The 25,718-nt window shown below is 33.9% G+C and overlaps 1 protein-coding gene across 5 annotated transcripts in view; it reads left to right on the top strand.

The window, feature by feature from the left end:
- The window catches only part of MARCHF1 (membrane associated ring-CH-type finger 1), an 859,722-nt gene that overhangs the window by 263,508 nt on the left and 570,496 nt on the right, over positions 1 to 25,718 (top strand). For all 5 annotated transcript variants that reach the window (XM_017008336.2, XM_017008335.2, NM_001166373.2 and 2 more), the window contains exon 2: positions 8,850 to 8,924. The gene's annotated coding sequence lies outside the window, so the exon portion shown is untranslated. The remainder of the gene's footprint in view (positions 1 to 8,849; positions 8,925 to 25,718) is intronic.

The following is a 25,718-nucleotide window of genomic DNA, read 5'->3' as shown; positions in this document are numbered from 1 at the left end:
TGAAATGTTCTGTAAATATCTATTAGATCCATTTAGTCTATAGTGCAGATTAAATCTGATATTTCTCTGTTGATTTTCTACCTGGAAGATCCGGTCAGTGCAGAAAGTGGGTTGTTGAAGTTGCCAGCTATTAATGTATTGGGCCCTATCTCTCTCTTTAGCTCTAATAATACTTCCTTTATGTATCTGGGTGCTCCGGTGTTGGGTGCATGTATATTGAAAATTGTTAGATTATCTTGCTGAGTTGGACACTTTGTCATTATATAGTGACCTCTTTTTGTCTCTTCTTACAGTTTTGCCTTGAAGTCTGTTTTGTCTAAGTGTAGCGACTCCTGCTCTCTTTTGGTTTCCATTGGCATAGAATATCTGTATCTATCCCTTGATTTTCAGCTTTGTGTGAGTTAAGTTCTATTTGATAATATTTTATTTATGATTTTTTATAACTAAATATATCAGGTTGATCTGTAGTTTTTTTAATAGTGCAGTTTAATCAAATTTAGTTATCTGTTATATATTCACTTCATAAAAATAATGTATAAGTGATCTTTTATGTGTTATCAGGAACAATTTAAATACTATTGGCATTATTAGGTCTATGAATGATTGATTTCATTTGTGAAAAAATCTGATTCTTGTTCTTTTGTGCATGGTATTTATTTTATAACTTTTTATATTTTCTTTTTGAAAATTGATCCATTTTAAGCTTTTTTCTCTGCTGTGGACAACTTTTGTAAATTGTATTTTTCTATAAAATTACCTGCTTTAGCCTTAGTTTCAAATTTATTTGCATAAACTTGTGCAAAAAGCCTTAGGATTTTTAAAACATTATTAGTTTCAACTATTCAAAAGTTATTCCACTTTTGTTAATTCTCAGTTGGTGTCATTTTGATTTATTTATTTTATGTATTAGTTTGGCTCATGTTTTTATTAATTGTCACCAAACATAATTATTAATCTTTAAAATTTTTAACCTCAATTTTTGTGTTATCTTTACTTTTTATTTCTTTTGCTTTCTTTTGGTTTACTTTATCTCCTAGCTTTTTGATTTAATATTTGACTCATTTATTTTTATTTTTTTCATTTATATTGACCTTTGTATTTATTATTTGTATTTCTTTATTTGTATTTATTATTTGTATTTCTTTTGATTATTGCTTATACTATATAATCCTATAGATTCTGACAGTCTAAGTTTTCATTATCATTATTTTTTGAGATATTTTAATTTTGATTTTAATTATCCCTTCAAATCTAGAATTGTACAAAAGAAATTTTTAAAATTTGAGGAAGAAAGAAACTTTAATAAGCTTTGTATTAAGTTTTAGTTTTATTGCATTGTGACTGGGGAATACTGTGTTTCATTCATACTTTAGGATATTTACTAAGGGTTTTTTAGGGTCTAATGTGTAGTCAATTCTCACTTATTTGAAGAAGATGTGCCTTCCATTTTTGGTATGCAAAAACCCTTAATGTATTATGTTGTTTAGGTTATCTTTATCCTTATATATTTTAATAAATTTTTCCCACTTGTTTCTTGGTGGGAGAGTCCCGTATTATATTTTTTTCATTCAATTTATTCTCATATCTACTTGAGTTTGTAATTTTTAATGGTAGTTGTGGTGTTATATTATTTGGATACTTATAACTCTTATATCTTTATTGTGACTTTTTCTTTCAGCTTTATAAATTGTTGTTACCTGTTTTAGTGTTTTTGGACCTGAATTTTACTTTCTTATTTCAGAATTGAAAGCTACTATGTTTGTTTAGCATTTAATTTGATTTGCATTTACTGTAATACCTTCACACATATTTATATTTTGCTTTTCTTAATCAATATTGTTTAGCTATGGCTCCTGTATTGAGAACAGAATTGAATTTTATTTTGTGAAAAAAGATATATTAAACTGGACATTTATCTGACTGATATCATATATTTGGTCTGAGCTTTGTCTTATAAGCTTAAATGGGTGTATTATATTATATATTACTGTTTTCTATATTAGATTTTCTCCTTGTTCTATTTTGTATTTCTTTTGATATTTATCAAACTTTGCAGTTTATTTATATGTTTATACAAATAATATCTTTATAAATATATATTTATATCTTTTTCCACTTTCTTTTAACTTTGTATGTTTCTATTAGGAAATCTGTGGTCAGTTTTAATTTTTTTGTTAATAATTTCTTTTTGCTGTATGCCCATAAGATTTTTTGTAATCCCCAAAATCTAATAGTTTTAATAGAATATTAAGTTCTGTCTTGGGGTTTACTGTTTTCCAAAGTACAAGTTAATGTTTTCCATATAAAAATATTTGTTTTTAGTTTCTGGAATATTTGACTGAAGTATTTATTTAAAATATTATGTCTTTTCCATTTTATGTTTTTTTGTTAGTGACTTTTTGAGTGACTTCAATTATATGCATTTTGGGTTGTTTGTTCCTTTTTATCTCTTTGCTTAAACTTTCTTTTTCTATACTTACAATTATGAGCACTAATTGATGTTATCTGTATTCTATCATTAATAAAAATCACTTCACTGATCTCACTCATGTGTTTTTTAATTTACCTCTGAATAGATTTATAACTATCAGTGCTGATTTTTGTTGTTGTTTTGAGATGGAGTCTTGCTCTGTCACCCAGGCTGGAGTGCAGTGGTGGATCTCGGCTCACTGCAACCTCCACCTCCCAGGTTGAGGTAATTCTCCGGCCTCAGCCTCCTGAGTAGCTGAGATTACAGGTGCCCACCATCATGCCCACCTAATTTTTGTATTTTTAGGAGAGATGGAGTTTCTCCACATTGGCCAGGCTAGTCTTGAACTCCTGACCTCAAGTGATCTGCCTGCCTTGGCCTCCCAAAGTGCTGGGATTACAGATGTGAGCCACCGTGCCCAGCTTCAGTGTTGATTTTAAGTGTTTATTTACATGTTCATTACATGTTATTGAATGTTTTATAATTATCTCACAATTGTGCTATGGAATATGGGTAGTTGTATTTTATATTCTTATTGATCTTTATTCATTGGAAAGAGATTCAGGTTTAAGTACTTACTAGAAATGCAGAATTTACAGCCCAATTCAGATCTAATGAAGCCAAATCCACCTTTTAAAATGTTCCTAGGTAACTTGTATTTCCATTAAAAAGGGATAAGCCTTGACCTAAAATAAGAAGAAAGTTATCTTTTGTTATTACAAAAATTTATATTCAAGCAGAAATTATTCTATTGTTTATTTATTTATTTATTTTTTATTTTTTTGAGACTGCATATCACTCTATCACCCAGGCTGGAATGCAGTGGTGCGATCTCGGCTCACCGCAACCTCTGCCATCCAGCTTCAAGCGATTCTCCTGTCTCAGCCTCCCAAGTAGCTGGGATTACAGGCATGCACAACCACGTCTGGCTAATTTTTGTATTTTTAGTAGAGACGAGGTTTCACCATGTTGGCCAGGCTGGTTTCAAACTCCTGACCTCAAATGATCTACCCGCCTTGGCCTCCCAAAGTGCTGGCATTACAGGCGTGAGTCAGCACGCCCAGCCTATTCTATTATTTAAAAGAGACATTGATTTGGCATATTTATGTGGATTTTAACTTTGTATAAAAGATGGGCTAACAATAGAATTCATAGTCAATTATGTCTTCTTAGTTTTGGAATTTTCTACTTGGGATAAGTTAGCATCAATGTTAAGAGATCTAGCCATTCTTTTATTTTTCCTAATTTAAATGGTATGCATACACACACACACATTTGTTTCTTGTGTATTTTTTTCTCTACAACAGTGTTGTCTGATAGCACTTTCTGGAAATGCTTTCTATGTATGGTGTTCAGGATGATAGTTACTAGCAACATGTGACTGAGTAATTGTAATTATTAAGAAGCTGAGAATTTAAAATTTGATTTAATTTTAACTACTTAAATTTAAATTTACACGTGGCTAGTGGCTACTGTATTAGACAACAAAACTCTTGGAACAGAAACTAGAGACTGTGGCCTGCTTTTGTATGGCCCTTGAGCTAACAATGCTTTTTCTGTTTTTAAAGGATTGTAAACACACACACAAGCACACACTTGTGCACATAAATACATGCAAATGAAGAAGAATATTCAGTGCAATGGAGTGGCCTGCAAATCCTAAGATAGTTAGTTATTTGCCCTTTATGAAAAAAGTTTGCAGACTCCTGCCCTAAAATGTTAATTTTATTTAGTACAGCATGCATAGTTAGGAAATAAATTTAAAAGCAGATATTTTGGAAAGTATGCTATTTTCTAGCATTCTAGAATTTATATATTTATTATGATGATATGTTACTATTAAGAAATCTGTAAATGTTTTGCATGACAGTTTTGAGATTTTAGTGATATGAAGGCCTTAATTTAACTTTCCCATTAACTATTGATAATGCTTTATTTCATGTTTATGGTTGATAAATTATCAATATCATCTAAAGTTTGATGAAGTAAAGATAAGTTATTTAGATTTTAAACCTTACAAAAAAAGATCAATGATAGCCAAAGAAAGTTTTTCTCTATTCTAAAGTATTCATAATTAGAGATAGGAGAGCAAATTTTAAAATTTGGAATTCCTTAGAATTGTCTTTTATGTACCTTCTACTGAAATGTGTTGCTTTCTGTGTATATCTGTGGGAACTATGACATCTTCCAAATCTTTGAATTATTTTCTTTCTAGATTTTGAATTTTAAGAATCCATCAAAATTGTATCTTATTGTTTCATCTCCTGGAAAATTTTCTCAGAAATATTTATTTTAAGGTATTGAAACATTTGAATTATCAGATTCATAATATTTATAATTTGTTATACCAAACTTACACCATAAGCTGTATCCAAAATAATTTGAATAACATTTAGCATTTCTTTTATTCAAAATGACTTGACTCATTTCTGCAATGTCTCTTCAGTTTTGTATATAGTTTCTTAAATGATGTGTCACATTACTTGATGCCAATGTTTGTAGTCTGAATAAATATTCTTTCACAATATTATCAAGTTTTACTATGGTCTCTGCCAAATGCAGAAAATTTCCATTATCGCTCTCATAAACTTTCTTGGATGATCTTCTGAACACATTTGCCTTGCCAAAATCAAAATTATGTATATTATGTGTTCAACAACAACATGCCATATCTTCATTTAGTCTCTATTCTTCAACAAAAGTAGTTACTGGTTTTTCCAAATCAGACTTTAATTATAAATATCTAACACTGTGATTGCTGTCCAGTTTATTTTATTCACGTTTCCTCATTGCTCATGACTGATTATTGCTCATTCTTAAGTAATGGTTTATGTTTTTTATCCCTGAAGAAATTGAAAACAAATATAAGACCCTTTGTATGCGGAGAACATATGAGTTTTTTCATCTGAAAAATATCAGAATAAAATAACCACCCTCAAACTTCCTTCCTTGTCTGTCTTTTGTAAATTTAAACTTTCTTATATAAGATGCAAAATTTTCAGCAGAGTGGCTCATTGCTGAATATTTAAAAATACGTCCACCTTCTGAGATTGTAAGGGAACACATTTCATTTGATGATTCTTCAGAACTTGTTTTGTCTGCTAGATTTTCTTGAAGGTCAGTAGTCATTGACATGGAAGTGGGAGATAATTTCATGTGCCATTCCATCAGTGACGATTTGTACTATATTCTGCTAAAATTAATAGCTCTGAAGTGTTTTCCTCTGCCTTTTTTTTTTTTGGTAATTCACTCTGAATTCTCCAAAATTTTTGCAATGTTCCAAACATTGTATTGTGTGTGTGTAGTTTCCCATTTTTTTCTTGTCTCAATACTATTTATCGTAATAAAATAAGCTGTTTCAATAGTTATCTTCTGATTATTTCATTGTAAATCTTATTGCATTTATTGTACTTAGGAAAAATAGCAAAATATAACATAATATAATATAATACTTATATACTGGGAAAAAGCAAATTTTAACACAGCATTTAATTTTATACTGATTAAATTTCTGCACTAAATATTAACAATTCCTGTCATTTAAAGAATGGGTCATTATATAAAAATCGTTAAGCCTTCATTAATACTTATTTTTGAATTATTAATGGGTAAATGCTAATTGTGTTTATGTAATTCATATCATACTGGAAGCATCTTTTACTTAAACAGGGAACTCAGAAAAACCTTAATGTTACAATAAACAATAAGAAAATAATGTGAATGGCAATAAAAATATATTAAATATAACCAGTGCATTAAGTCAATGAGATATGTTTTTATTTTTATGAATATACATATATGTATACATACATATAACAATAGATTAGTTGATTGGTTAATCATTTCATTTATTGATATATGGATAGATAAATCGACTGATAGGTAGATAAACGTATGTTTTGAAGCTCAGCTACTTGTTCAGAAGCACAGGTTATCATATATGTTATTAAATCGACACTGATTTTCGATTCACAAATCTTTAGTTTACCAACTTGTCCCTCCTTTATAAGTCCCAGTGGAATGATGTTTTTTGACCCTATTATAATGGAATCCTTTATCCCCTCTACTGGAAGTTTGCTTTAATAAATATGCAAGTCTCCTATTTTGGGGTTAAACAGTTATCGTTTTATATAAAAATTAAAATGATGTTTAAAATGAGTGGGTCACCCTGAGAAGTGTTGTGCTCAATTTGAATAACCAAAGCAGTCCAGTATTTCACTTTTTACTTACATCCTTGTTCTTTCCAAAATAATATGCAATGAGTCAAGGGAGATTGTGTTGAAAGATAAATCTCATGTCTAATGGTTATGCACCATCTGTTGCTTAAATTTTGACATCCCCCCTACCCCTCCCTGAATAATTTATTTATCAGATAGACGTACCTATACAATTATTTATTAGATTTTTCTCACGATTCACCTAAGTCATTCATACAAAGAGATTTTTGGCACCCACCTCACCAAATGCCCAAATATGTAAGAACGCCGGTGCTGACCACAGTTTAGAGCTCCCTCCTTTCCCCAGATACATAAATATGCATCTTTCTTTCCTCTTTTTCTTTATCTTTCCCTCCCTCTCTCTTTTCCTTTCTTTCTCCCTTTCTGTATTGTCTTTCATGCCATATGACACAAAAGGATGTAAATGTTAGAAAGGTATGTATATAGAGAGAAAGCATCAAACTATTAAGCTTTCAAAAGGCCATGTGGGGAACCTAAAATCATGAAGCAGTAGAATACATAATCCTAATCTCTTTCATCCAACCAATAACAACATATGTTTGGAGTTTCTTGTTCCTGTTTGTTTTCATTATGCTAATGCACCCAATGATATTTCATAATACCTTGTATTTGGAACTTGGATTTTAATATACCAATTTCATTAAACTACATAATATGTGAAAATAAAGTCCATTGAAATAGAGAATGTTCCAAGTTATTCAACTTAAATAAGCAAAACTGCAGGTAGCCACAGTTAAAGCTGGAAGACAGTGTCCTCACTATCCTGAGCCAAGGAAAGATATCATTCTTTAATTTGTCAAATTTATTTGCAATTTTTTAATGGGTATTTGATTGGTAATATCTTATTTTCAGAATTTGAAAATACATAATTTATTTAAAAATTGTAATACATAATTTATTAAAAAACAGCGAAAGTGGAAATAATAACAATGACCTATTTTAAAAATTGTGTTGATAAACATTTAAAAATTAATGGAAATTTTCATGGTTCTATGCAATATATTCTTTTCTTGTAGAAATATTTTGTTGTTGTTTTTGTTGTTTCTCTAACTGATCTGATTTTTCATTTGTTGTATATAGTGTGAATTTAGTTTTCTCACCTTATGTGGTTACAATGTGTTCCCAGTGTCAGCGGTTGACTTTTATATGTCAACTTATTAATTCTATAAGCAAACTCATTTTATATAACTATTATACAATTTCTGCTTTAGCTCTATGTACATTGACTTCATAAACAGATACAACTCTGATATGAAAATGTCATGTTTTCTCTGCAACTACAGTGCTACTGTATACATTCTTTGAAAAAATGATCAATAATATCCCCTATTACTTTAGTTTGTTAAGATACTTTCTTGTGATCATTCTACATGCAGAAAAAGAATATGGAGAGATTATAAGATATGGATGCCAGCTCATTATACACACAATTGTATCCTTAGCCCTTTCAACTAAACAAAGGCAATTTAGTATTGTAGCCATGTATGTCTTCTATTGAGTGGATCCTAAAACAAGAGATAAAATAGTTGGTGTTGTTTTATACAAAGGGATAATAGAGGTAGTGAAGTACATGGCTTGTGGATATTTCCTCCTGATGTGCTGCTTAGATTACATAAGGATCCAAAAGTGAAGCTGTTGCTTATCCTTCAATCACCGCATCCTTTTACTCATCCTCATTATGTTCAAAACTTTGAGGCAAATTCAGACTGTATTTTTATCAAACAACTAGATCAAATTGAAACCAGATATTCTAGTTTGACTTTTAAAATTTTGCCTCTGTCTTTGGAGAGGTTCCTGAGTGTCTTACATTGTTTGGCAGTACATAAATGGCTCAAATAACCCTTCTTATCTTATGCCAGAAGAGATTATTTTGAAATTCTCTATTAGAAAATAAAACTTCAGTTTATTTCTTATTATGAAATATGTAGATATTTTGCAACCATACAGAAATTTATATAAATTATTTCACATGATCTGAATATTGGCAGAAATGAAATTAAGAACAGTATTATATTTTAAAGACTACTTACATAGGCCCAAAATTTCTACAACATTTGTGTGGTCTTTCCATTATACAAACCATAGTTTCCTTATGGTCATTTTTAAGCTTGGCCTTAACATTAATTTAATTTTCGTTTCAGGAAATGTACCCCAAAAGAACTCTGAGAGAATATACTCAACTGTCCTGCTGTGATTAAACAAGACTGCTGTATTTTGTAAGTTCATCTATTTTTATCTTTATTCTTTAAATAAAGAAGACTTTCCATGGCAGAAAATCCCTTTTCTCATTTGGAATTAGAGTTTAATTTTGTTTTAATGGAAGGCTTAATTGATTTTATTTTTTTCAAACTTTGTTTTACCTTAATTTTATTTGGTCTCAATGAATAATGAAAAGGCATTTCTTTCTTAGATTAACTCTGTTTCCTTGTATCTACTGGGCAATATTTTAACGACTTGTGATAAGAATCTTATTATTTGGTAAAAGGGCAGTGCTATCAGTAATGCTGGCTTGACCTTGGCAAATATATAGGTAATTATAGTACCTCCGTTTCAGTGAACAAATACATTTGATTTTACCTGTGGAAACTGGCTTTATGAAGGTAGCTAAATATGGACCATCTTTAGGATACAGAGTAATTTTATCTTGTTACTAATACTTGGATTATACATTCAAGGATTATCATATTCATCATGATGAGATATGCACTATATGAGTTTGATATATTAGGATATAACATTTATTTTGCTCTATATGATTTAGATGGATTAGAATATAACACTTATTTATTTCACATGACCCAGAGCAACCAAAGGCTATTGTGTAGAAAATCAAGAACGACATTAAATTGAATGTTTCCTGAACCTTCAAATTTATGACCCTTCTCAGTATCTCAAAGTTGAAATTTTGCTATGTCAGTTTCTGAAACGCAATATAAAGCAAATGGATTTTCCCCTCCTTTACAAACTGCTTTCTGATATTGAGATAAAATAGTCCCTTTGCCCATAAGTAGTTTCCTATGACAGACACAGTAGGTTAAGAGAATGTAATACAGGTAATTTATTTTGACACTTGCAGCTTTTTTTTTTTTGGCTTTTCATTGAAGCAGACTTTTTTTCACAAGAGAAAAAAAATATGATTGTATCGCCTCATAGTAAATGAATGGAGGGATCGACTAGATGAAAAAAAGGATCTAAATTTCTGAATTTAGTGGCATAATAGTCATTACAAGTGCCCTTCATCAGAGTATTTTTATTACCCCAGTATTTTGAACAACTTAAGTGCTGAGTATGGTAACATAAAGAACACACTTAAGAGTTAGAATAGATTTTAGAAATTTTTCCAGTAATTCTAAGGGCATAAATTAGTTCAAAAAAATCTTGAAATTGGCGAAGAATCACATAAAAAGGGGAAACTTTAGAAAGACAAATTTTAACATATATTGTGAAGCAGAAATAAAGATTATATAAGAGATTTACAAAAAATAATTATCTTAAAGGGTGCCCCAGTGGTTTCATTTTGTTTCAAATTCTATCCATTTACATGATTATTTTTCCCCAAGGAAATAATCGAGTTTTTCCCCTAAAAAAACCTCATTCAATAAGAATCAATTCTCAATTTGTTAAATAAGTAATCATTTAGCTACCTGTGTGTGTGTGTGTGTGTGTGTGTGTGTGTGTGTATCTCCAATTCCAATGGGTTTTTTAAAATTTTCAAATAACAACAACATTAAAACTTAAAAATTTTACATTAATAGGAAACTTCTGTTGAATGTTTCCATATATCAGCTCCTAAGTGTGAACAATGGCAAAGAGATCTGGTGTTGCATATGACCTGTGCAGTTCTATCAGTGGTGAATTTACATTTTCTTTTTTTTTTTTTTTTTTTTTTTTACTTTTATTTTAGGTTCAGGGGTATGTGTGAAGGTTTGTCACATAGGTAAACTCTTGTCCCGGGGGTTTGTTGTACAGATCATTAGGATTTCACAACAAGTCTGTTTCCTCTTTGCTACATTCACTCTCTACAGGTCTGAGAAACCCAAGTTGGGTATCATGTAGGAGTTATTAGAGCTTAGATTAGTAAAATCCAGGAACGATTTTTAAAAGTCAAGAAGAAATGTTATCTTGCTTTGGTCACGCGCTTCTTGATTACTCTGAATGTTTGTGGTTGAGTCAGCTAATGAAGAATCTGGAATATGTGGGAAAGGTGCAAGGAGAAATAAAAATTATGATGAAGAATTTTCAGTAATCATGTCTCTGAAAAAAAATTAAGGAAATAGAATACTTGCATTTGAAAAAGAAGACATAGTGAGATAATTATTCTTCTTCATGTACTGTATATGAAGAGACCTTATAGAAAAGGTGGCCAATTCTTTGTTTTGTAATGATTTTTTAAAAAGTATAATAAACCTGGACTGTTATTAGTGTAGATTTTCAAGCTGTGAGAGTTTTTAAGCACAGGAATAACTGAAGATAGCACTTTGAAAATCCCTTCTTTTGAGAGACCTTGAAAGTAAAACAGATCTTATCTTGGACTGTCTGGGGGATGAAAGTGCTTATTAATCCAACATGAAATCTTTTAAACCTAGGATTATATGATCATAAATTAGTTACTATTTTACATTCTGTAAATAGGTCATTAGCTTTATCACTTCAATCAACAGTGGCTTTGCTTTTCTGGAACCATACAGAGGAGAGAGTAACAGGTTTCACAAAGCATCTCACGCTCAACAATGGTCCCAGTCGAATAATTGTCCAGTTTTCAATGGAGAATTAGTACAGTTCTTTCTAAAGGTTTAAGAGATGATTAAAATAGACCCCTTGCTTTTGGAATGGGAATTGCCCTGGGAGCTGAACTAATTTCCTCTGGTTATAATAGATTTAAACAAATGTTTTAATAAGCACTTTTAAAAATCACAGCTATCTTATGCTGCCCACTATTGCCATTCTCTTAAGAGAGGATTATGCTTCATAAGGTAATACCTATAAAAAGAGACTATTTTTCTTGTATTTTAAATTAGCAATTTTAGCTTAGAAATAACTCTACTTTCTGGTTATAATGCTAGTTATTTTATAGACTTTCTTTTTCCAGAAACTTTGTAGAGATAAAATTAACATTATATTTTTCCAAGTTTTTTTTAATTTAAGAAATTCAATCAAATGAATATTTCTGCCAAAAACTGTGAGGAATAGAAGTGCCAAATATGACCACTGCTTCTAAATTGCTATAATCTCATTGTGGAGAAAATTCATTTATATAAAAATTAAATGTGGGATTCCAGTTAGTTAAAAGTGCAGACTATGTTATAAGTCTTTGCTCTTTCACAACACCTTAAACTGATCCTTTGCATGTCATGTGTGTATTCAAAGGGATGCAGAAAAAAAAACAATGAATGAATGAATGAATTCTGCAGTCATTCAGAGAATAATGTAATTAAATTTTGAACACAAAATACAGGTAAAACTTAGTAAAAAATCGTTATTACAGATAGAATAAAATAAAAACAGCAGGCTTGACTCAGGAACTTACTTAGTATATAATGTTACATATATGCTTTAAAGGTATTGAAATCCTCATCAGAGAGAATTTTATTAATAGTGGGGAGCAATGCTAAGGAGATAAAGTTGCTTTAAGCCACGAAAGGTCTTGATTCCATGTTAGGCAGCCTATACTTTGTTCAGAGATAGTCACAAAAGACAGTTCAATGAAATGCTATTCTATCACTTTCTGATAAATTGATATAAGAAAAAAAAGGTAGGACAAATCAAAGATTATGTCAAATTTCAGACTCTGAATAACTGGAAAGACATGTAGTGAACTGATGAATGGAAATATAAAACTTAAGAAAGAGGATGGAGGAGGTGGAGGGGGTAGTTTATGTGAATGATTCATGGAGTGAGATTTTCCAATTTTTGAAATATCCTGAACTTATTTTCCAAGGCTTCCCTTTTTCCAACTTTTAATCTCAAACCTATTCTCTTTTTTTTTGTATTATCGACATTTTGATAGTAAAATAAATAGTTCATTTGTATTCTTTTTCATTTTATACTGTTACTGCACTTCTAGATTATCTAAAAGTGAATTTTTAAGTGAGTAAACACTTACTCACTTAAATGTTGAGAGAAATAGAAATTAATATCTCAGGCCAGGCATGGTGGCTCATGCCTATAATCCCAGAACTTTGAGGGGCAGAAGTGGGTGGATTACTTGAGCCCAGCAGTTCCATACCAGACTGGGCAACATGGTGAAACCCTGTTTCTACTAAAAATACAAAAATAAGCAGAGCGTGGTGGTACTTGCCTGTAGTTTCAGCTGCTTGGGATGCTGAGTGGGGAGAGGACTGCTTGAGCCCAAGAGGCAGAGTTTGCAGTGAGACAGGATTACACCACTGCACTCTAATCTGAACAACAGAGTGAGATTCTGTCTTAAAAGTTAATAAGAAAAGAAATTAATATCCCCTAACCTATTTTAGATCTATTTTACCATTATGTCTTCTCAATATATCATTATATGTGCTTAATGTTGTTAAATATTATCCAATTTAAAAATTGTGACTGATAAGAAAAATGTATACTGTGAGTCAAAAACCACTGATATATGACAAATGGCACTAACTAGGGAAGTACAAAATTAGATAATTTTTTTATCAAAATAAAACGTGTTGGAGAGAGTTATAGCATTTTAGCACATAGCTTTGTATTTATTATACTCTCCTTGTCTAAAAGAAAGGATAGCAGTTCATCAAGAGAAATATTTTTCTCCTTTAGGTTTTATGAAGATGCTGATGCATTTAAACAACATAATAGCCTGTATCCTCAATACGACTTTGTAAACTATAGCAAAGATCTTCTGCATATGGTTGTTTCTTGTATCAGCCTTTGATAGATACCTTGGACAAAATTTAAATGCAATTACTCCAGGAACCAAAGTGATTATGACAGCATTCTGATTATCTGGAAACACAGGGAAAAAGTCTGAAGAGTCTTAAGGAGTAAATGGCTGGCAGCTTATTCCTTTTTTTTTTTTATTTTTTATTTTTATTATACTTCAAGTTTTAGGGTACATGTGCACATTGTGCAGGTTAGTTACATATGTATACATGTGCCATGCTGGTGCGCTGCACCCACTAACTCGTCATCTAGCATTAGGTATATCTCCCGATGTTATCCCTCCCCCCTCCCCCTACCCCACAACAGTCCCCAGAGTGTGATATTCCCCTTCCTGTGTCCATGTGATCTCATTGTTCAATTCCCACCTATGAGTGAGAATATGCGGTGTTTGGTTTTTTGTTCTTGCGATAGTTTACTGAGAATGATGATTTCCAATTTCATCCATGTCCCTACAAAGGACATGAACTCATCATTTTTTATGGCTGCATAGTATTCCATGGTGTATATGTGCCACATTTTCTTAATCCAGTCTATCATTGTTGGACATTTGGGTTGGTTCCAAGTCTTTGCTATTGTGAATAATGCCGCAATAACCATACGTGTGCATGTGTCTTTATAGCAGCATGATTTATAGTCCTTTGGGTATATACCCAGTAATGGGATGGCTGGGTCAAATGGTATTTCCAGTTCTAGATCCCTGAGGAATCGCCACACTGACTTCCACAATGGTTGAACTAGTTTACATTCCCACCAACAGTGTAAAAGTGTTCCTATTTCTCCACATCCTCTCCAGCACCTGTTGTTTCCTGACTTCTTAATGATCGCCATTCTAACTGGTGTGAGATGGTATCTCATTGTGGTTTTGATTTGCATATCTCTGATGGCCAGTGATGATGAGCATTTTTTCATGTGTCTTTTGGCTGCATAAATGTCTTCTTTTGAGAAGTGTCTGTTCATGTCCTTCGCCCACTTTTTGATGGGGTTGTTTGTTTTTTTCTTGTAAATTTGTTTGAGTTCATTGTAGATTCTAGATATTAGCCCTTTGTCAGATGAGTAGGTTGCGAAAATTTTCTCCCATATTGTAGGTTACCTGTTCACTCTGATGGTAGTTTCTTTTGCTGTGCAGAAGCTCTTTAGTTTAATTAGATCCCATTTGTCAATTTTGGCTTCTGTTGCCATTGCTTTTGGTGTTTTAGACATGAAGTCCTTGCCCATGCGTATGTCCTGAATGGTAATGCCTAGGTTTTCTTCTACGGTTTTTATGGTTTTAGGTCTAACGTTTAAGTCTTTAATCCATCTTGAATTGATTTTTGTATAAGGTGTAAGGAAGGGATCCAGTTTCAGCTTTCTACATATGGCTAGCCAGTTTTCCCAGCACCATTTATTAAATAGGGAATCCTTTCCCCATTGCTTGTTTTTCTCAGGTTTGTCAAAGATCAGATAGTTGTAGATATGCAGCGTTATTTCTGAGGGCTCTGTTCTGTTCCATTGATCTATATCTCTGTTTTGGTACCAGTACCATGCTGTTTTGTTACTGCAGCCTTGTAGTATAGTTTGAAGTCAGGTAGTGTGATGCCTCCAGCTTTGTTCTTTTGGCTTAGGATTGACTTGGCAATGCAGGCTCTTTTTTGGTTCCATATGAACTTTAAAGTAGTTTTTTCCAATTCTGTGAAGAAAGTCATTGGTAGCTTGATGGGGATGGCATTGAATCTGTAAATTACCTTGGGCAGTATGGCCATTTTCACGATATTGATTCTTCCTACCCATGAACATGGAATGTTCTTCCATTTGTTTGTATCCTCTTTTATTTCCTTGAGCAGTGGTTTGTAGTTCTCCTTGAAGAGGTCCTTCACATCCCTTGTAAGTTGGATTCCTAGGTATTTTATTCTCTTTGAAGCAATTGTGAATGGGAGTTCACTCATGATTTGGCTCTCTGTTTGTCTGTTGTTGGTGTATAAGAATGCTTGTGATTTTTGTACATTGATTTTATATCTGAGACTTTGCTGAAGTTGCTTATCAGCTTAAGGAGATTTTGGGCTGAGATAATGGGGTTTTCTAGATATACAATCATGTCATCTGCAAACAGGGACAATTTGACTTCCTCTTTTCCTAATTGAATACCCTTTATTTCCTTCTCCTGCCTAATTGCCCTGGCCAGAACTTCCAACACTATGTTGAATAGGAGTGGTGAGAGAGGGCATCCCTGTCTTGTGCCAGTTTTCAAAGGGAATGCTTCCAGTTTTTGCCCATTCAGTATGATATTGGCTGTGGGTTTGTCATAGATAGCTCTTATTATTTTGAAATATGTCCCATCAATACCTAATTTATTGAGAGTTTTTAGCATGAAGGGTTGTTGAATTTTGTCAAAGGCTTTTTCTGCATCTATTGAGATAATCATGTGGTTTTTGTCTTTGGCTCTGTTTATATGCTGGATTACATTTATTGATTTGCGTATATTGAACTAGCCTTGCATCCCAGGGATGAAGCCCACTTGATCATGGTGGATAAGCTTTTTGATGTGCTGCTGGATTTGGTTTGCCAGTATTTTATTGAGGATTTTTGCATCAATGTTCATCAAGGATATTGGTCTAAAATTCTCTTTTTTGGTTGTGTCTCTGCCCGGCTTTGGTATCAGAATGATGCTGGCCTCATAAAATGAGTTAGGGAGGATTCCCTCTTTTTCTATTGATTGGAATAGTTTCAGAAGGAATGGTATCAGTTCCTCCTTGTACCTCTGGTAGAATTCGGCTGTGAATCCATCTGGTCCTGGACTCTTTTTGGTTGGTAAGCTATTGATTATTGCCACAATTTCAGCTCCTGTTATTGGTCTATTCAGAGATTCAACTTCTTCCTGGTTTAGTCTTGGGAGAGTGCATGTGTCCAGGAATTTATCCATTTCTTCTAGATTTTCTAGTTTATTTGCGTAGAGGTGTTTGTAGTATTCCCTGATGGTAGTTTGTATTTCTGTGGGATTGGTGGTGATATCCCCTTTATCATTTTTTATTGCGTCTATTGATTCTTCTCTCTTTTTTTCTTTATTAGTCTTGCTAGCAGTCTATCAATTTTGTTGATCCTTTCAAAAAACCAGCTCCTGGATTCATTAATTTTTTGAAGGGTTTTTTGTGTCTCTATTTCCTTCAGTTCTGCTCTGATTTTAGTTATTTCTTGCCTTCTGCTAGCTTTTGAATGTGTTTGCTCTTGCTTTTCTAGTTCTTTCAATTGTGATGTTAGGGTGTCAATTTTGGATCTTTCCTGCTTTCTCTTGTGGGCATTTAGTGCTATAAATTTCCCTCTACACACTGCTTTGAATGCGTCCCAGAGATTCTGGTATGTTGTGTCTTTGTTCTCGTTGGTTTCAAAGAACATCTTTATTTCTGCCTTCATTTTGTTATGTACCCAGTAGTCATTCAGGAGCAGGTTGTTCAGTTTCCATGTAGTTGCGCAGTTTTGAGTGAGATTCTTAATCCTGAGTTCTAGTTTGATTGCACTGTGGTCTGAGAGACAGTTTGTTATAATTTCTGTTCTTTTACATTTGCTGAGGAGAGCTTTACTTCCAATTATGTGGTCAATTTTGGAATAGGTGTGGTGTGGTGCTGAAAAAAATGTATATTCTGTTGATTTGGGGTGGAGAGTTCTGTAGATGTCTATTAGGTCCACCTGGTGCAGAGCTGAGTTCAATTCCTGGGTATCCTTGTTGACTTTCTGTCTCGTTGATCTGTCTAATGTTGACAGTGGGGTGTTAAAGTCTCCCATTATTAATGTGTGGGAGTCTAAGTCTCTTTGTAGGTCACTCAGGACTTGCTTTATGAATCTGGGTGCTCCTGTATTGGGTGCATATATATTTAGGATAGTTAGCTCCTCTTGTTGAATTGATCCCTTTACCATTATGTAATGGCCTTCTTTGTCTCTTTTGATCTTTGTTGGTTTAAAGTCTGTTTTATCAGAGACTAGGTTTGCAACCCCTGCCTTTTTTTGTTTTCCATTGGCTTGGTAGATCTTCCTCCATCCTTTTATTTTGAGCCTACGTGTGTCTCCGCACGTGAGATGGGTTTCCTGAATACAGCACACTAATGGGTCTTGACTCTTTATCCAATTTGCCAGTCTGTGTCTTTTAATTGGAGCATTTAGTCCATTGACATTTAAAGTTAATATTGTTATGTGTGAATTTAATCCTGTCATTATGATGTTAGCTGGTTATTTTGCTCATTAGTTGATGCAGTTTCTTCCTAGTCTCGATGGTCTTTACATTTTGGCATGATTTTGCAGCGGCTGGTGCCGGTTGTTCCTTTCCATGTTTAGTGCTTCCTTCAGGAGCTCTTGTAAGGCAGGCCTGGTGGTGACAAAATCTCTCAGCATTTGCTTGTCTGTAAAGGATTTTATTTCTCCTTCACTTATGAAGCTTAGTTTGGCTGGATATGAAGTTCTGGGTTGAAAATTCTTTTCTTTAAGAATGTTGAATATTGGCCCCCACTCTCTTCTGGCTTGTAGGGTTTCTGCCGAGAGATCCGCTGTTAGTCTGATGGGCTTCCCTTTGAGGGTAACCCGACCTTTCTCTCTGGCTGCCCTTAACATTTTTTCCTTCATTTCAACTTTGGTGAATCTGACAATTATGTGTCTTGGAGTTGCTCTTCTCGAGGAGTATCTTTGTGGCGTTCTCTGTATTTCCTGAATCTGAACGTTGGCCTGCCTTGCTAGATTGGGGAAGTTCTCCTGGATAATATCCTGCAGAGTGTTTTCCAACTTGGTTCCATTCTCCCCATCACTTTCAGGTACAGCAATCAGACGTAGATTTGGTCTTTTCACATAGTCCCATATTTCTTGGAGGCTTTGCTCATTTCTTTTTATTCTTTTTTCTCTAAACTTCCCTTCTCGTTTCATTTCATTCATTTCATCTTCCATTGCTGATACCCTTTCTTCCAGTTGATTGCATCGGCTCCTGAGGCTTCTGCATTCTTCACGTAGTTCTCGAGCCTTGGTTTTCAGCTCCATCAGCTCCTTTAAGCACTTCTCTGTATTGGTTCTTCTAGTTATACATTCTTCTAAATTTTTTTTCAAAGTTTTCAACTTATTTGCCTTTGGTTTGAATGTCCTCCCGTAGCTCAGAGTAATTTGATCGTCTGAAGCCTTCTTCTCTCAGCTCGTCAAAGTCATTCTCCATCCAGCTTTGTTCCCTTGCTGGTGAGGAACTGCGTTCCTTTGGAGGAGGAGAGGCGCTCTGATTTTTAGAGTTTCCAGTTTTTCTGTTCTGTTTTTTCCCCATCTTTGTGGTTTTATCTACTTTTGGTCTTTGATGATGGTGATGTACAGATGGGTTTTTGGTGTGGATGTCCTTTCTGTTTGTTAGTTTTCCTTCTAACAGAGAGGACCCTCAGCTGCAGGTCTGTTGGAGTACCCTGCCATGTTAGGTGTCAGTGTGCCCCTGCTGGGGGGTGCCTCCCAGTTAGGCTGCTCGGGGGTCAGGGGTCAGGAACCCACTTGAGGAGGCAGTCTGCCCGTTCTCAGATCTCCAGCTGCGTGCTGGGAGAACCACTGCTCTCTTCAAAGCTGTCAGACAGGGACATTTAAGTCTGCAGAGGTTACTGCTGTCTTTTTGTTTGACTGTGCCCTGCCCCCAGAGGTGGAGCCTACAGAGGCAGGCAGGCCTCCTTGAGCTGTGGTGGGATCCACCCAGTTTGAGCTTCCAGGCTGCTTTGTTTACCTAATCAAGCCTGGGCAATGGCGGGTGCCCCTCCCCCGGCCTCGCTGCTGCCTTGCAGTTTGATCTCAGACTGCCGTGCTAGCAATCAGCAAGACTCCGTGGGCGTAGGACCCTCCGAGCCAGGTGCGGGATATAATCTTGTGGTGCACAGTTTTTTAAGCCTATTGGAAAAGCGCAGTATTCGGGTGGGAGTGACCTGATTTTCCAGGTGCAGTCCGTCACCCCTTTCTTTGACTCAGAAAGGGAAATCCCTGACCTCTTGCGCTTCCCAAGTGAGGCAATGCCTCGCCCTACTTCGGCTCGCGCACTGTGCGCGCACCCACTGACCTGCGCCCACTGTCTGGCACTCCCTAGTGAGATGAACCCGGTACCTCAGATGGAAATGCAGAAATCACCTGTCTTCTGCGTAGCTCAAGCTGGGAGCTGTAGACCGGAGCTGTTCCTATTCGGCCATCTTGGCTCCTCCCCCAGCTTATTCCTTAGACAATTATCTTGACTATCAACTATCTCCAGCAGGCTTAAAATAGGAGTTTTAGGGGAGACAACTCATAAATGAGGTTTTAATGAGAATGTGAAAGGCAGACATTTTTTATTCATGACTGAAAAAGCACCTCTATGCTGTAGATACCAACCATGTTGAAAACAAAGACATTTCATTGTGAAAGTTGAATGACTTTATTCATTTAGGCAACACATATTCTTATTTAGCCTGTATTGCTGGCAATTCTACTTATCACCAGAAGTTGGAAGTACCTGTGTGCAGGATTAAATTTGTTTTTGTCAGGAAGGAACTCTAAATGTTTAAATGAATGCTAAAAGGCTATCTAAAAGTTGGATATGTCTATGAGAAGATTTGGACAGGTGTTGGAGATATACCACATACCGTCAAAAGCAAAACCTTGAGTTGACTCTCTTAATGAGTTTAGATTGATCCTCTATTGTAATTAATCTGCCAGGTGAATGTGGTTTCTAAATAGATTTATGCAAATGTACACGTTTCTCTTGCTATTGTTTTAACCTATGTTCTATACTAGGTAGTTGTGAAAGTTTCATTATTTGGAATAAAGCTCTTAACACCTCTGAAGAGGAAATGCTTGCTATATAACATGAGTTTGAATGAATAAGTGTAAAAATTAGAAGTCTTTAAAAGGAAAATTCAGTTTCTTGTCAGTTAGAGAGATTCATTTATGGAATACAGATCAATACAGAGACTATCAGTTACCAAAATGATGGAATTTTATTTATTTATTCCTTCTCATGAGCTGTGGCTGTTTTCTTTGCTGATTACAAGAGATACACTTATTTCTTCTTCCTTGTTCATAATTATTATCACTTGCTACTTTTCACATCCATAATAGAAAATATAACAAAATTAAAAAGTATTAGATTCACAATTTTCACAGCTTTTAAAGGCATTTATACATATATTTTTGATATTATGACCTCAGAGAACAATATTAACAAAATTTTCTTTTGAATAATATATTTTAAAAGGTTTTTTTAAGCATGACAAACTCTCATTTGTTTTTCCCGCATAATTAACAACTCTGACTTTCTATTTCATTTGTTTTAACATTCGCATTAATGAATTCACCTTTTGTCCTGCTTTGAATTTGATATTGAAAAGAAGTTTTATGCTTCATTGCTTTCTAATATGCCTTAGGTAATCAGTCCTGTTAGAGTAGCTTATGTAATACTTATCTGAGACAACAAGGGAGACTTTTCTAGGAAATAGAGCTTATCTCAAACTGATTTTTATTTCAATGAGGTCTTTATAAATATAATGGAAGATGTTTTGACAAAGAAATTTGTACAATTATAGAAAATGAAAAAGTATATAGACAGACATAGTATTTTTCCACATAGCCTTAAATCTCTTTAACATTGAAAGTGCTAACATTCTAACCTGCTCTTATTAAATAAATGGAAAGAGCTCTCACAACTTTACATGGTAGCACGATTGTACATAAATATCAATCTGCTGAAATATTCTGACTTTTCCTGATTGTATCCCATTTTTGAAATTCTCTGGGTCTCCTGTGGATTAAGCACCCCATACAAGTCAGACTGTTTGTTTATGCAGCTGAGAAAACCAACTTCAATCATCCTGCTAAATTTTGCAAAGATTGTGAATCAAAACATTTTGATGATAACACATACATGCATTTGACTGAGGTTCAATGATTTTCCACACAAATTCAACATTAACTATATGTGAAATAATAAATCTGCAAAAGGTAATCTTTTCCGCTTTGCAATGGTAACAAAAATTGTATGTTCTTTAGAGCCAACGGGAGAAAAATTGGACCACTTACATGGCCCTTTTCTAAATTAGCATGAGCAGTTCCTCTGTGTTTTTAATCTAAAGACAAGACAGTCATGTGTCTAAATGCATTACTAGTCATGTTGGTCAGACAAGAGTTATGAATATAGATGGTCAGCCCTAACCATTGCATAAAGACAGCCAAAATAATTTTCACATCACATTCAAGGCTCCTTGATCTGAGCACATCTCTCTTCTGTGACTGAACAGATCATGAAAAGATCTTCATTCTTTCTTAAAATAGTTGGGAATACATACCAATTTATTGGTGATGCTGCTCTATCACTTTCGTTGTGACACACAAATCACACAGAGTTTTTAAAATACCAATCCCAGAATAAGATTGAAGTGTAAGACTGAATGTCACAGCATGAAATAAGACTGAAGTACACCATGAACTCAACTAGAGTAGAATTAAACTGTCTCCTTGAATTGAATCATGACATTTTAGGGCTACTCTTCAATAATTCATCTTGTCCTTCCAAACAAGCACTTCCTGGTGATCTTGAGTTTTTTGTTCTCTATTTCAGGGTTGTCTTCCTAACATACCTGTCCTGGAACCATTAGATTTAGAAGAAGCTAAACAAATATAGTGAAGTTAACCTACATATATTTTCATAACCAGAAAATACCAGCCAACAATTACTTCAAAAATTAGAATAAACCTAGAATAAACATTAGCTAATGTCATGGCCTTATGATTATCTTATGATAATCTGAAATTTTGTTTTAGATGGGTGTGAAGCGGGAAAGAGCAAGTGGTAAGCTGAAAGCATGAGCTGAAATGAACCAAAATGGGTTGTAACTCATGTCAGCTCTCACTTATCACTGCTTTCTACCTTAATGATAAAGATATCCCATGGTAGAAGCTAGTGCCCATAATCACAGAGCTAAACACTTGTCTAGCCAGGAGAAGCTGAAGGGGTCACAGGAAATGGTGGAATAGTAGCAGGTCCAGCTTCTGTGTTCCACCATGAAGCCAGCCGGAAGATAAACTGCGATGAGTATGACCTACAGAGGCACTGGTTCACCCTGCCTAGCCTTCCAAATAAAAGGGAATATGGATGTTGCTTCACTTGTTCCCTCAAATCTCACAAAAATATGTGTGGCCCAACCTACCTAAATAATACAGGGAAGGAGATTCTGGAAAATGTAGTTGATCCTAGCCCAGTTGACCCATTACAGAGTCACCATAGTGCCATAAGTCCATTTGGAAGTCTGGTGAAGGTTATGCATTCCCTCTCAGAATGTTTGTTAATATTTTTAATACATATACTTAAATACAGAGGATTACCCAAGCAATCAATTATATTGAAACAGTGATCAAAAACATGAGAAATCAAATTTGTGCCATAGTAACAGGTAAACTTAACAAGATCTAGGCATATGTTTAATAATAATAGTAATTTTGAAACTCTAATGAGTATAAATCATAGTTTATGATATCTATAATAACCAAAATATGGTATGAAATAATTTCTTAAATGAAAATTTCAAAGATATCGCTAATGCTATTGTGGTTTACTGACTAGTCATAATTTAAGGATTCAAGAGATGATCAATTTCAGTTAGAGATTAGTGACGTCATCTGAAGTCTATTCATGGAACCCATAGATAGGATCTGTAAATCCTAGGATAGAAGCTCTTCTTTGGTGTCACAATCTTTCTTGGCGAAATATATTTACCAAGATCTTTAAAATACACTTATTTTAGGCAGTAAGTTCAAAAAATATGAGGCCTAGACGCTGTGTTGTGAGACTTGCATTACATACTAAATAATGTCTATAGTATAACAAGCCTTACATTATTTTTTTACATGTCTACAGTTTTTAAAGTCTTAATTATAGTGAACAGCTTTTCTGTACTTCTCTATGAAGAGTAAAATGAACATTAACAAAAGAATTGGCAGTGCTAAATTGTTAGTAGACTCCCCGGGGTTTTCCTCCTTGCTGTAAAGGCTTCAGTGATTTCTTCATAGTTTAGGCATAGTAAAATAGTACCACTTAAGCTTCTGAGCATCAGTCACTAAATGTTTTCAAATAAATTTCTTTCAATTTATATGATACTTATGGCTAAAAAATGATCTTTTTTGCATGCAGTGAGATTCAGAATAATGCACAGTTTTATTAAATGGATATTGTCATATGGGTACAAGGTGAATTAATCTTGTATAATGTTAGTATAGAATAACAAATTTCTATTACATTCTGTTTTTGTGTTTTCTCTAACTTTGATTCTTTTTACTTTGTGTTCACCTTATTTGCTCTTACATATTCCTTACAAAGAGAAGGACTCTGGAGGCACACTTTTTAAATTTTTTTTTTAATTTTAGATACAGGAAATACATGTGCAGGTCTGTTACAAGGGTGTATTTCATAGTGCTGAGGTTTGGGCTTATATTTATTCCATCACCCAGATAATGAACATAGTACCAAATAGGAAGTTTTTCAGCCCTTTCCCTCCTTCCTTTCTTCCTCCTTTTGAAGACTCCAGTGTCTATTGTTCCCAATTTTATGTCCACAGGAACCCAAGATTTAGCTTCCATTTATAAGTGGGAATGTGCAATATTTGGTTTTCTGTTTCTGTGTTAGTTTGCTTAGGATAATGACCTCCAGCTGCATCCATATTGCTGCAAAGGATATGATTTTGTTCTTTTTATGGCTGCATAGTATTCCATAATATATATGTACCACATATTCTTTAGTCAGTCCACCATCGATGGGCACCAATTGATGATTCCATGTCTTCGCTATTGTGAATAGTGCTGCAGTGAACATATGAGTGCATGTGTCTTTTAGGTAGAATGATTTATTTCCCTTTGGGTATGTACCCAGTAATGGGATTGCTGGGTCAAATGGTAGTTCTTTTTTTAGTTCTTTAAGAAATCTTCATACTGCTTTCCACAGTGGCTTAACAAAGCCACTTTCCCAGCAGCACTGCATGAGCGTTCCCCTTTCTCCTCAGTCTCGTCCGTATATGTTATTTTTTGACTTCTTAATCGTAGCTATTCTGACTGTGTGAGATGGTATGTCATTGTGGTTTGATTTGCATTTCTCTGATGATTAGTGATACTGATTATTTTTGTGTTTGTTGGCTGCTTGTATGTCTTCTTTTGACAAGTGTCTGTTCATGTCCTTGAGGCACAAATTTTAAATTTAAAAAGTTTAAGTTTTTTGGTTGAGTTTTGGTTTTTCTTTTTACTTTTAGAATAATTTCAGAGATAGGGATGAAAGTTTGGTTACTTTTTTACAGTAACAGATACAGTTCATAATGAAACTATAATTAGTGATTATGGTTTATTATAATTGTATTATGTTATAGTATCAAAAATCACTTAAATATACATCATTTTATTTCATACTCTTGACACAATAAATGCTGAGAAGGCAATTTTTACTTTCATTTTATGGACAAAAATCATCAATAGAAATGAGTGAAAATGACTTGACTAAGGTTGGTGTGTGTGTGTGTGTGTGTGTTTGTGTGTGTGTGTAATATAGCAAACACATTTACCACTTCTCGGGCATTTGTTTTCACCTATATTACCTCATTTATCCTCACAATCACACTAGTCATATATGCTATTACTATGCTTATTTTACCAATGAGTAAACTGAGGTACTAAGGTTAAGTAACTATCTGAAGTTCCTGATGCTATTGAGTGGTGGCTAATGAGGAATAGGCCCTGGAGTATAATCCAGGCTGTTCTGGGCTTGAAGTCTGAGCTCTCAATTTATACTCAAGGAGACCTCTCATACTTCTGTTTTCTCCCGTCTAACAACTGTAGGTATTATTTGTGGTTAGCATTTTGTTGTATCAACTAAAATGCTTAGGCCATTGTTAAGCATTGTTAACAATTAGTGATGATAATGGGCAACTTGAGACTTTAATGGGATTGCTTTTGGTTTGTTTACTGTTAATGGGTTTTTGGATGGTATTTTTATTGTTATGATACAGTTATCTTTTGTAATGTAAAGATGTGTTCTTATATTTCTATTTAAATTAGAGTGTTTCTCAGAAATATTTAAATACTATTAAATTACTTTTAGCAGTCAGATGATCACAGTTGTTCTTTTCTTTGAACTGAAGGTATATTTTTTG

This window comes from Homo sapiens, chromosome 4 (genome assembly GCF_000001405.40).
Source record: "Homo sapiens chromosome 4, GRCh38.p14 Primary Assembly".
In the NCBI taxonomy this organism is placed as follows: domain Eukaryota; kingdom Metazoa; phylum Chordata; class Mammalia; order Primates; family Hominidae; genus Homo; species Homo sapiens.
Note: the sequence above shows the minus strand (reverse complement) of the source record. Positions and strands in the feature narration are given on the sequence as shown.